At 44.9% G+C, this 13,488-nt stretch overlaps 1 annotated feature.

Annotated features, from left to right (window-relative positions):
* Positions 7,644–8,258: an enhancer, noted in NCBI's record as "NANOG-H3K27ac hESC enhancer chr6:110214364-110214978 (GRCh37/hg19 assembly coordinates)". NCBI's record gives its function as "activates a minimal SCP1, AML or CMV promoter by ChIP-STARR-seq in naive H9 embryonic stem cells {active_cell/tissue: H9 hESC(naive)}" and the evidence as "EXISTENCE:reporter gene assay evidence [ECO:0000049][PMID:30033119]".

Genomic DNA, 13,488 nt, shown 5'->3' with positions numbered 1-13,488 from the left:
CTCCTCCTGGGCCTCCTGCTGAGGACAGTGTTAGGGCTCATTTGCACTTCCACTAGAGGCGAGCCCTTGCTGGGAGAAGAGGTGAGAGCAGTCGATTTTGCCACTCATTAGCAACTCTGGACAGACAGTGGTGGGAAGATTGAACCTATTGGCAAAATGAGAGTTTGCTTCTCTGGGGGCACAGTTACCCATTCTAGTCCTTTCACCATCAGCGTATCACCCAGAGTTGATTTTCTGCTGGTCTCACAGAGCAATGAGCAAGACAATATTTTTCAAAGGATTAGTTGCTTTATATAATAACTCAGTGAATAGTCAATGTTGTGACCTTCCAGTGGTGAGACTGAAGAAGGAAAAATGTCTCCTGGAAAACAGATGCCACAACCACCTTCGTGGTCTTACTGTTCTGGCCTAAAGGTCAAAGATTAAGTTTGTGAAGGACAAAATGTGTGTGTGTGTGTGTGCGCGCAATCTGGAATGCTGAAGTAAGTTTGCCAATGGATGCAAAACTGGTTAATATTCTATAAGACAACGCATGTTTGTTGGCATATTTCTACTGGGCAGAAAACTATCATATCTCTACTGGACACCGGCATTTACGTTGCTATGGATAAGAATAATTTCCATTACTGTTTTCTTCAACTTCTATAGTGTAAAATTGCTGGGTCATTAGAGAGACAGAGGGTCTACTAGACAATGCCCAGCACATCATTGAAAGGACACACAATGATGTTAATCTAAAGACAAAAAGATCTATAAACAAATCTTCAACTCCAATTTAGTAAAGGTGTTGTTGGTAGAGGTATGAATGTAGCAATTCTGGAATTATGTTGTGCTTTATTAGTGCAGCACTAAGCAAAAAAGTAAATAATTTGACTGTGGGCCAGGAGTGGCAGAGGGATTCAGGATTCTCACCATGAAAGAAAGAAGATACAAGCATAAACTAGGAAAAAGCAAAGAAGAACCATGTGGTATTGAATTGGGATTAGTGGTTACTACTGGCTCTGTCCATTGAAATGGCAGTGACATCCCAGTAGCAATCAGCAGAGATCTTGGTTTCTAAATACTACTGCTGCCAAAAGAAGCCAGGACTTTTTGGAGAAATGGCTGATTCCAGGGTGGGGCAGGGCAAGTATAAGAACATTTGGTTGTTCTTAAAAGTAAGAAAGTGCTCATAAAATGATGGGAGGATGTTGCAAGAATATAAAAAGCAACTTGAAGGGCTTCCCACTGGCCAAATCTGTAATAATTTGATTATCAAAACAAATAAGAATAGTGATGAATTCTAACCCTTGGAAAAATAATATTTCATTGATTCATATTATACTAAATAAATAAATGAGAAAGAGAGGAAGGCTCTTCTTTAAAATAGAAAGCCAACTAATAAAAGTAGAATAGATAATGGAGTTAGATAATCAACATTTTGCAACATTGTAGTAGTAATTGATTCACACAGGAATTATTAATGGATGCTAAGACAGTGGAAGTCTCAAAGTATTTCTTTAGAGATGACTTATTAATTTCTTTCTTTTTTTTTTTTGAGACAGAGTCTTGCTCTGTTGCCCAAGCTGGAGTGCAGTAGTGCAGTCTCTGCTCACTTCAATCTGCACCTCCTGAGTTCAAGCGCTCTTCCTGCCTCAGTCCCAAGTAGCTGGGATTACAGGCATGTGCCACCACGCCTGGCTAATTTTTGCATTTTTAGTAGAGATGGGGTTTCACCATGTTAGCCGGGCTGGTCTTGAACTCCTCACCTCAGGTGATCCACCCACCTCAGTCTCCCAAAGTGCTGGGATTACAGATGTGAGCCACCATGCCCAGCCATGACTTATTAATTTCAAAGAGAAAAATAGTAACTTCATATTAGAATAACTTGGCTGACACTACTCTAACTAATTGATCAACATTAACATCACTAACGATGATGTGATATGCTGAGGACAAAACATGACTTATGTTATAAACCGCATAACCTGCATATAACCATCTAGAAACACCAGACACATTTAAATTGTGGAAATTCTACCAAATGCTTGGCTTGTGTTCTTTAAGATTGTCAATGTTATGAAAGACAAAGACAAAATAATTCAGTAAATTTTCCAGATTAAATGAGGTAAGAGAATCAGGACAACTAAGTGTAATGCAAAATCCTGAATTAGATCTTCAATTTGGGGAAAAGTTGCCATAAAGGGCATTATTGGGGCAATTGGTGAAAGCTGACTATAAACTGTACCTTATCTTAAATAATAATATTGCATTAATGTTAAAGTTCCTAAAATTGATCATTGTACTATGGTTATGAAGAGAATGTCCTTGTTCTAAGGAGATCTATGCTGAAACATTTAAGGATAAAGGGGCATAATATATGCAATTTTCATTCATATGGCTCAGTAATACTAATTATAATAATTATTAGATATAGATAGAGAAAGCTGTGTCAAAATGTTAATTAGTAAATCTAAGTCAAGAGTATATGGGAGATTACTATATACCTTTTGCAACTTTTCTGTAAGTTTAAAATATTTTTCAAAATAAAAAAGGATTTTTTTTAAGTATTGTATTCTGCTTTTCTAATCTCTCTATTGGAGAAATGAGGATTAGATACTTCAATCAGAATTGAAGATGTGGTCTGGGCACAGTAATGCCTGTAATCCCAGCATGTTGAGAGGCTGAGGTGGGAAGATGGCTTAAGCCCAGGTGTTCAAGACCAGCCTGGGCAACATGGTGAAACACTGTCTCTACAAAAAATACAAAAATTAGCCAGGCACGGTCCACAACTGCAACCCCGGCTACTTGTGAAGCTAAGATGGGAGGATTGATTGAGCCCAGGAGATTGAGAGATTGAGTCTGCAGTGAGCCCTGATTATGCCACTGCACTCCAGCCTGGGTGATAGAGCAAAACCCTGTCAAAAAAAAAAAAAAAAAAAGAATTGAAGTTGTGTGGAATCCCCAGAGAGGTCGGGTTGTGTGGGCAATATGCACCTTGCTAGGAAAGAGGGTCATCAGGGCACTAAAAATCCTTTTCTCAAGGTAATGTCCTGGGATGCCCAGTCCCCCAGCCGTGCTGGGTTGAGTTATCTAGGTGAACTGCAGGATTTTGGAGAAAGAAAAGGTATTTTCCATGTAATTACTGTAACAGAAATGCGGGAGTCACCCTCGGTGCCAATCTCTCATTCAACTCGTCACCAAATCTTATGTATTGATTCCACCTTTTAGCTATAATCCAAATGTGTCCCCTCCCCTCTATGTCCTCTGCCAAGGTCCTCACTTCCTTGCCCACATTTCTGTGTCACCTCATCACCTGTCACCTGGTCTTCAGTGGCATCCCTCTGACCTATTCTTCCCACCCAGCCAGGTGCACAGTGAGTGAAGCTTGGTGCCTTGGTAGGGTGGCAGAGAGTGCCACCATGCCTGCTCCTACCTCTGCTGGAAATATCTCCCACCACCTCCTACCATTTCCTGCTGCCCTCTCTCCAACCCTCAATCCACACAGCCTTTGCTCCAACAATTTTGCACTATTTTTGAAGCCACCTTTGCAAAAATTATATCAGTGAAAAAATTATGACAGTGATCTGAGCTAACCCACCCCCATCTTGCCTTTCCCGGAAGGCCCCAGATGGGAAAGAACAATGAACAACTGTTCTAAGAGACGGCTGATCACAAACTACCCAAGGGTGTGACTACCTCAGTGGGCACAATGAATGGCTTCCTTCCTCAGGCACAAGAACCCTGCATGGAATCCCCTCCAGCACAACCCTAGAAAACTTCCCTCCAGCCCCACCTCTTTGCAGACAGCCCCTTTTCTGCTGTGCTGCCTGTTGTAACCTTTGAATGTATTTTCATACTTTCTCTAATAAATCTGCCTTTCTTTGCCTAGACTGCCACCCCCTCTTCCTGGTTCATGTTGGGAACAATTTGGAAAATAAAAGAATTAAGAAATTAAAGAAGTCACAGATAAAGGGAAAAATATGAATGGCTGAGTGAGGCTAAGCTGGAGGGTGTGGTTCAGGTCTGTCAGCCAGCAAGCTGGGGACAGCTCTGGGCAGAGCAAGCTACCTCCACCTGCCCAACTCACCCTGCAAGAGCTCCAACACCCAATGAGACAAAGCTCTCCACCTCCCCAGAGACCAGGAGGTATAGGGGCTAGGTTTGTGCTGAAGGAAATCCCTCCTGCGGGCTCCCTCTAACACGCCCCAGGCTGCAGCCTGCCCCTGTACCTTGTCTCAGCCTTCCCTCCCTGAAAAGCCAGGAAGTGAGCCCTCATCAGAAGCAGACCATGTGGGCCACCCTGATCTCAGGCTTCAAGCCTCCAGAACTGTGAGAAAATAAACTTTTCTTGCTTAACCCTCCCAGTCTATGATCCTTTGTTGTGCCAGCCTGAACAGACTGAGACATTGAGCATGTTCCATGTAAAGTTAATCACATCTTCCTTAGGTCTGTCTCCTTAGATGAAACTTAAAATTTGTCTCCCAAATCAGACATTTATGTAATTTTGAAAGCCAAGTTATACCGAAAGCCTTATAATGAAAATAGTAGTCTACAGCTCTTTTCCTAACTCCTGTCTTCAGCCCAGCTCTCTGGGGAAAAAAGCACTCTCCACTTTCTATTGTTTTTTTTTGATTAGGCAGACCACTCGGTGCTTCCAAGTAATGTTTACACCATGAATACCGGTGTCAAAAGAAAAATCTTGACCAAATTAAGTTTAACAGAGTTTAATTGAGCAAAGAATGATTCACAAATCAGGCAGCCTCTCAGGCCAGAGTAGGCTCAGAGACTCCAGTGCAGCCACATGTTGGAAGATTTGTGGAGAGTAAAAGCAAAGTGATATACAGGAAATGGAAATGAGGTACAGAAACAGCAAGATTGGTTACAGCTCAGTGTTTGCCTTATTTGGACCTGGTTTGAACACTTGGCCACCTTTGATTGGCCAAAACTCAGTGATTGGCACAAGATTTGGCTACTGAGGACTAAGTTCTGATTTTTTCATCTTGCCCAAATTCCTATCTAAAAGGTCTGGGGAGTCATGCCCTACAAACGGTAACTTCTCATTGGATGGGTTTTACTTAACCCTCTATACTGTGACTTACTTTCCATCCTGACTCTGGTGTAATATTACAAGACAATGAAAAAAAGAAAAATCGAAATATTTTATCCCAAAACATGTTTCTTTGCCATATCTTGAAATGGCCCTTCAAAGCTGTCCTTTGTGGGGGAAAATCTCCATCTGTAGAGAATCTATTAACATAGCTAGATCTTTTCCTTCCAGGCCCTCCCAATCCTAAAGAGATTAACTAAAAGTCTCGCATCTTTTAAAGATTTGAATAGGAAACATTTGTCATCTATTGTCTCTAAGGGAAGCCACTATAAGATTTCAAAGGGACCTTGTTCTCCAAAATATTTTATCTTAACCTGAACATTTCCTTTCTATCAATCCCAGGTCTTACACAAAATCAACCAATTGTCAACCAGAAAATGTTTAAATTTACCTATAGCCTGGAAGCCGCCCCCCAACCTTAGAGTTGTCCCACCTTTCTGGACCAAAGCAATGTATTTCTTAAATGTATTTGATTGATGTCTCATGCCTCCCTAACATGTATAAAACCAAGCAGCACCCCGACCATCTTGGGCACATGTTCTCAGGACCTCCTGAGGGCTGTATCATGGGCCATGGTCACTCATATTTGGCTCAGAATAAATCTCTTCAAATATTTTACAGAGTTTGGCTCTTTTCATTGACACTACAGTCTGTATACAACTCTATTTGGGTTATAGTTCATGGTGTAGAGAGGAACATTTAGGCTGAACTTAAAATATGTAAGGAGGCAGCTATCAGCTAAACTTGATTGAACAATTTCCTACTTTGGGTCATCCTCTCAATTTTGACAGATTGGCCAAAACTTTAGTCATTGATGTCACTATTACCATTGTCTGTACTTACTTGGTTTTGAGACCCACTGGGAAATAGCCGAACAGTGGGGTTTGTAAGGTGGGAATAAGAACTTTAGGGTTTTTTTTGTTTTTTTTTTTGTTGTTGTTGTTGTTGTTGTTGTAAGGTTTAGAGTAGAGGGTATCTCCTTATGCTGGAATGTGCTATATACAGAGGAAAAAACAAAAGCTAATCTGTTCTAGGATCGATGTGTTTCCTTAAAGTTTTAGTTTGGTTATGTCACATTTAGTATGAGAGACTCCATTTTGGTTTGGTCTGGTCTGTTGCAGCCTAGTGCATAAGCTCAGTCCAAAACAATGGCCTTTCCACAATTTTGTTTAAAAATTCTCTCGTTTTGGTCAGGTTCTCACTTAGGTAAGAGTGTGACTGAAAATTAGGGCCTTAGCACTACTCTCAGTTACCATGATTTTGGGTTTCTGGTCTCAGCACATAATTCATAGGTTACAGTGCCCTTATGGTCACACATTTTTTCAGCTCTTGCCATTCAACTTGAAGACAGTGGAATGACATTCTAGAGATGGCTGCATGCAAACATTTAAAACTGTTGAGAGAATACAGCACACCAGACAGACTACTATTATAACTATTATAACTATCAGAAGGATATTACCAAGAGTTTGGAGTATCCTCCTTAGCCAGGGTCCCCATGAACCAAACCAACTAAAATCAAATAGGTCAAAGAATAAGCTAGATAAAGAATCTACTCACTTTAACTAAGCAGTCTCTTTGTTAATCCCCTACAACTGAATCTCTGTAATACCCAGTGTGATGTATTTCTCTATGAGCAATAAGAAGTGATAGCAGCTGCACAAATGAAGCAGAAGATACAAAAAAACAAAACACAAGTTTTTCTTTTTCGGCCTCCCCCTTCAGATTCTTCTCCCTTACCATTGTTCCTTGTTCTGTTCTTATAATTATTTTTGCAAGTTTTGTAAGTTCCTGTTTTTCCCCTTCTGTGCAGCATTGTAAGGTCACAAGATATGCTTGAGTTACAAAACCTGTCACTGTTCAACAACTGCCTTTGTTCTGCTTCTGAAAGCTTGTTTGCCCACACTACAGGTTTTGTGCCATCAAACCGGCCAACCTCCCTTCAGATGCATGTATAAAAGTCAAGCCCTGTCTTTGTTCGGGCTCAGCCTTCGGATGTTAATCTCCTGGGCCGGTGCGCTCCTAATAAAATCCTCCTGTCCCACCCATTGGTCTCTCCTGTCCCTTGATTCATGTAACATTTCTGGGGGCTCATCCAGGATTGGAGATGACAGGTTTTCTGTCTCCTTTGCCTGTGGGTCTGGGGACCCAAGCCAGGGGGAGACACATGACCTCAGGTGTGCCAAGGGGGGAACTTAAACCCAGGTGAGAGATGGGCTCTCCTGTGACCCAGTGCCCCTCCCCGTCAGTGCAACAGAACCTAAGGGGCTACTGGATGATTCCAGGAACAGCATGCTACAGGACTGCAGTAAGGTTTGGGGCTCGAGGCAGGACCTGTCCCATAAGGATGGAAGGGGAGTCTGATCAACTCCCGGGATGTACCTAGTAGTCCAACCCAGGACATGAGAGTGGCTCGCTAAGTTGGTTGAAACCTACACCCCAACCTGAGAAGAAGAACTGGGAGTGGGAGAGTGTGTGAATGCGTGTGAATGAGTGGAGTGGAGCATGTGGGACTGCAAGTCTCCTAGTGTGAGACCATATGTCCCGAGCAAGTGTGGGACTGACTGGGACTAGTGGTGAACTGCATACAGCTTATGGAGGCTCCCCACAATTTAGTGATTGTGGGGTCCAGGTTTGGGGTTTATACAAACCCTCCAATGCTAAATGGCATCTGAAATACTCCCATGAGGGAGGTGGTCTAATTGGTCTGAAGTGAAAGCAAAAGAGAGTGAGTTGCACCATAACCGGGAGGAAATGGGAGGGAAGCCGTCAAAACTCACCCCATTAGAATGTATGTTAAAGAACTTTAAGAAAGGTTATACAGGGGATTATGGGATCATGTTGACCCCCAAGAAGTTAAGAACCCTTTGTGAAATAGAATGGCCCTCTTTTCATGTCAGATGGCCAGCCGAAGGAACAATAGATGGGGGAACAATTGGCTGTATACATTGGGTGGTGACTGGGGTCAGAGGACAGCCAGGGCATCCAGACCAATTTCCTTATATTAATACATGGCTGAATATAGTCCAAACCTGACCTGCATGACTACAGCCCTGCCTGGCGGCTAGTTACAAAATGCTTGTGGCTTGAGCCAAACCTAAAATGAAAGAAAAATCAGCTTCACCAGAAGCTACGGGGACAAAGGGAAAGCCACAGGAAAGACAGGAAAAACTGGTTTTGCAGGAACCACTGGAGGAAATAGAAATCCCTCCTCCCTATACCCCAATCTACCCCACTTTACCAAGGCTGGCCCCTTAGGAGTCAGGTTCAGATAATGATGAGCCCCAGGCTTCACCCGAAAAGGAAAAATCAGAACCACTGCCCCAGGAGGTCAAGGAGGAAATTCAGGCTGATCAAGCAAGCTGCCTCCAGTCTGGCCGCACCTGGGCTTTGCAGATGCCTCTCTGGGAAACTTGGGGCCCCTCTATTATGATTAATATGGCCATATCCAAGGGGGGCAATGGACCTTCATCTACCAGCCTTTTTCAACCACTGATCTCCTAAACTGGAAACACCATACTCCCTCACACACAAAGAAGCCCCAGGCCTTCATAGATCTAATGCAGTCCATTTTTCAGACACATAATCCAACTTGGCCAGATTGCAAACAGCTCCTCCTGACGCTGTTTAACAACGAAGAGCGCCAAAGGGTGACCCAAGCAGCCCTCTGCTGGCTAGAAAACAATGCACCAGAAGGCACACTTAATGTCCAGGCATACGCTCAGGGCCAATTCCCAGAAGCAGACCCACACTGGGACCCAAATGTTGCAACCCAATTATAGCACCAGCAGAGGTACCGAGAGGCACTCTTGCAAGGACTAAGGGAGGGCAGAAAGAAGGCAGTCAATATGGGGAAAATCTCGGAAGTGCTTCAGGGAACTGATGAAAGCCCTAGCCAGTTTTATGAGAGACTCTGTGAGGTGTTCCAGCTCTACACTCCGTTTGATCCTGAGGCTACTGAGAATCAGTGCATGGTGAATGCAGCATTTGCAGGACAAACCCAGGGGGACATCAGGCAGAAACTACAAAAGCTAGAAAGTTTCACAGGCATGAATGCCACCCAACTTTTGGAAGTGGTCACCAAGGTGTATGTTAACTGTGACGAGGAGGCAAAAAGGGAAGCAGATCAGAGACTCAGGAAGAAAGCTGATCTGCTAGCAGCAGCACTCATGGAAAGAGGAACAAGTATCACCAGAGGACGTGGATGCGGACACAGATGAGGAAGGGACCAAACTGGGCAAAGACCCGAAAATTGGCCAAGACTGGATAGGGACCAATGTACATGATGTAAGAAGAAGGGACACTGGAAGAATAAATGTCTGAGGATGACAAGGGAAATGACAGAGGCTATAAAACTAGAAGACTGCCAGCCAAGGGCTACTGTACCCCAAAGGAGCCAGACGCCAACCTTATCGGGCTGGCAGGGACTGAAGGGTATGAAGACTAGGCAAGACCGGGCTCCATCTCCTTAGGCCCCCAGGAGCCCATGGTCATATTGGAAGTAGAGGGCCAACTGATGGACTTTAAGGTAGACACCAGGGCTGAACACTCGGTAGTGACACAGCCCATAGGGCCACTATCCATACATCGTGCAACTATTGTTGGAGCTTCAGGGGTCCCAGAGAAGAGGCCATTTTGCCGGCCTAGGAGTTGTGTCATGGGGGAAGAGAAGTCCAACATGAATTCCTGTAACTCCCAAATTGCCCAGTTCCCTTGCTGGGAAGAGACCTGTTCCAAAAACTGCAAGCACAGATTGCTTTTGGGCCACAAGGGGATATGACTCTAAATCTGACTTACCCAAGGGCCATGGTGTTAACTCTTACCATCCCTCAGGCTGAAGAATGGAGACTGTACATCAAGGAGTTACCAGAACTGGGACTGGATGAACTGTATGGGCTGCTTTGTAAGATTCCTGGAGTATAGGCCTAGGACAACCCACCTGGGCTAGCTGTAAACCAGGCACTGGTGATAGTAGAGCTAAAATCAGGAGCAACACTGGTCAGGTTCATCAATACCCACTACCCCAAGAAGCCATACAGGGCATTCAAGAACATTTCAAGTGGCTCTTGGAACATGGAATCTTAGCCTGATGCCAGTCATCCTGGAACACTCCACTTTTGCTGGTACAAAAACCAGAGAGTAATCAATACAGACCAGTGCAGGACTTGCATGCTGTAACCAGTGCAGGTTACAGACCAGTGCAGGACTGAATGAATGAATGCAGACTGGTGCAGGACTTGCAGTCTACTGTAACCATCCACCCAATGGTACCAAACCCGTACACATTGATGGGACTCATTCCGGCTAGTGCAGCCTGGTTTACTTGTCTGGACTTAAAAGATGCTTTCTTCTGCCTTCACCTGCCACCAATTAGTCAGCCCATTTTTGCATTTCAATGGGAGGATCCAGTCACAGGCACAAAGGAACAGCTCACCTGGACTAGACTCCCACAAGGATAAAAAAACTCTCCCACAATCTTTGCAGAGGCATTGGCTGCCGACCTCAAGGCCTACACCCCACCAGATGACAACTGCACCTTGCTACAATATGTGGATGACCTCCTTTTGATGGCCCCAACCCGGAAGGACTGCTACTGGGGAACCCAAGGCCTCCCCCACCTCCTATAGAAGGCCAGATATAAGGTGTCCAAGAGAAAAGCTCAAATTTGCCAACAGAAGGTCAAATATTTGGGCTTCATAGTGACCCAAGGGGAACACCAGCTAGGCATTGAATGAAAACAGGCTGTTTGAACACTCCCAATTCCAACTACCCGGCACCAGATAAGAGAGTTCTTGGTGGTGGCAGGGTTCTGCCATATCTGGATCCCAAATTTCTCACTTATGGCCAAGCCCTTATATGAAGACACAAAGGGTGGGGAAAGGGAGCCCGTCCTCTGGGAGGCTGATCAGTAAAGGGCATTTAAACAAATCAAAGAAGCCATAACTTAGGCCCCAGCCTTAGGACTGCCGGATATAACTAAGCCTTTCTTTCTATATGTCCATGAATGAAAGGGAATGGCTATAGGAGTCCTGACTTAAGTCATAGAATCATTGCATCGCCCGATGACATATTCATCCAAACAACAGGACTCCGTGGTGCTAGGGTAGCTTCCTTGCCTTAGGGCACTAGCTGCCACCACCATACTGACACAGGAAGCTGACAAATTGACTTTAGGGCAAAACTGACTATTTGGGTACTGCATTCGATTATAACTTTAATGGATCAGAGAGGGCACCATTGGTTATTGAATCCAAGGATGACTCAGTACCAGGGGCTCCTATGTGAAAATCCCCACATAACTTTAGAAACAGTAAACACCCTTAACCCGGCCAACTTGCTCCCAGTCGAACCGGGAGCCCCACTTCATAACTGTGTGGAAATAGTAGATGAAGTATTCTTGAGCTGGGGAGATCTCATGGACCACCCCCTTAGAGTCCCAGATGTTGAATACTTCACAGATGGAAGCAGTTTTATACTGGAAGGGGTCCACTGGGCTGAGTATGTGGTGGTAACATTGGACTTAGTGGTGGAGGCTCAGCCTCTGCCCACCAGAACATCAGCCCAGAAGGCAGAACTAATATCCCTGACGAGGGCCTGTTTGCTGGCGAGGGGCAAAAGGGTCAATGTTTATACTGATTCTAAATATGCCTTTTCCACATTGCATGTTCATGGAGCTATATATAAGGAGAGAGAACTCTTAACTGCTGGGGGTAAAGAAATAAAGTATAAGGAGGAAATTCTACAACTCTTAGATGCTGTATGGGCCCCAAAGAAGGTAGCTATTATACACTGCAGGGGGAACCAAAGGGCGGGAACACTGGAGGCCAGCCCAAAGGAAACAAAAAGGCAGACAGGGAAGCAAAATGGGCAGCTATGACCACTCCGCATCTTAGGGAAGAAGCCCTGGCTATGGCCCTCCTCCCAGAGCCTCCCCTCCCGGTGGTCCTAAGTTATTCTCCAAATGCGAAGGCCTGGTTTAGCCGAGAATCTGGAAAATACATTGAGAGAGGTGGTGGAGATTCTCCAGTGGGAGACTAGCCATCCCTGAAATGGTGGCCCCCAAATTTGTATAACAATTCCATCAAGGAAATCATATGGGGGAAACGGCACTGGAAACGCTACTGGGACACCGTTTCTATGGACCACGGCTCACAGCCATCACCTGAGCCATTTGTGAACAATGTCTAATTTGTGCCCAGAACAACCCATGACAAGGGCTTACTCGGCCCCCAGGGATTCAGGAAATGGGAGCCACACCCTGTGAAAATCTACTTATGGACTTCACCGAGCTGCCCTGAGCGGGGAGGGCTGCCAGTACATGCTAGTATTCATCTGCACCTTTTTGGGATGGGTTGAGGCTTTCCCTACCCAAACAGAGAAAGCACGAGAAGTGACTAAAATACTGTTAAGAGACATTATCCCCAGATTTGGACTGCTCCTGACTCTAGATTCAGACAATAGACCAGCATTTGTAGCTGAAATAGTTCAGGAACTAACATGGCTGTTAGTTCCTCACAGAGCTCAGGAAAAGTAGAGCACATGAACCAGACACTCAAACAGCTACTAAAGAAATATTGCTAGGAAACTCATCTGAGATGGGATCAAGTCCTGCCCATGGTCCTCCTCTGAGTCAGGTGTATCCCCACCAAACAAACTGGGTATTTACCCCATGAGATCTTGTTCGGCCAGCCACCCTCAATCATAGGTCAAATTAAGGGTGATGTCCATGAACTAGGGGAATTGACCTTGAGAAGGCAAATGCAGGCCTTAGGGATAGGCATGCAAGGTGTCCATGGCTAGGTACAGGAGAGAATACCCATAAGCCTGACAGACTCAGTATGCCCCCTTTAAACCTGGGGACTCTGTTTGGGTTGAGAAATGGAATCCAACCACTCTGGGACCCATATGGGAGTGCCCCCATACTGTGATGTTGGCTACTCCCACTGCTATTAAAGTTACAGGAATTGTGCCTTGGATCCACCACAGTCGGCTAAAACCAGCAATCCAAGACAAGTGGACCAGCCCACAGGACCCAGACCATCCAAGCTGGCTGATCCTACGACGGGACCAAGTTGCCATTAGGGATGACAGCAGCTCTGCTCTGGTCACTCCGGAAGCTGACCTGTCTATGCACAGCTGAAGCTTGAGGAGGCAACAGCCCTGCTCCAGTCACCCCAGAAGCAGACTAGTCTATGACCGGCCGAAGTTAGAGTGGAACATGCAAGTACGTCATCAATACATACTTCTTTTTCTCCTAACTATAATACTACCCTTATCCGTGTTGGGAGAGGGACCCATAGAAGGATGGCCCCCTGCACTCATACTATGGGGTCAGGGAGCAACATAACCAGAACCCTGTTGTACCACACTTATTATGAGTGTACAGGGACCCCCTGGGG

This window comes from Homo sapiens, chromosome 6 (genome assembly GCF_000001405.40).
Source record: "Homo sapiens chromosome 6, GRCh38.p14 Primary Assembly".
In the NCBI taxonomy this organism is placed as follows: Eukaryota; Metazoa; Chordata; class Mammalia; order Primates; family Hominidae; genus Homo; species Homo sapiens.
This window is presented reverse-complemented; position numbering and strand designations above follow the sequence as displayed.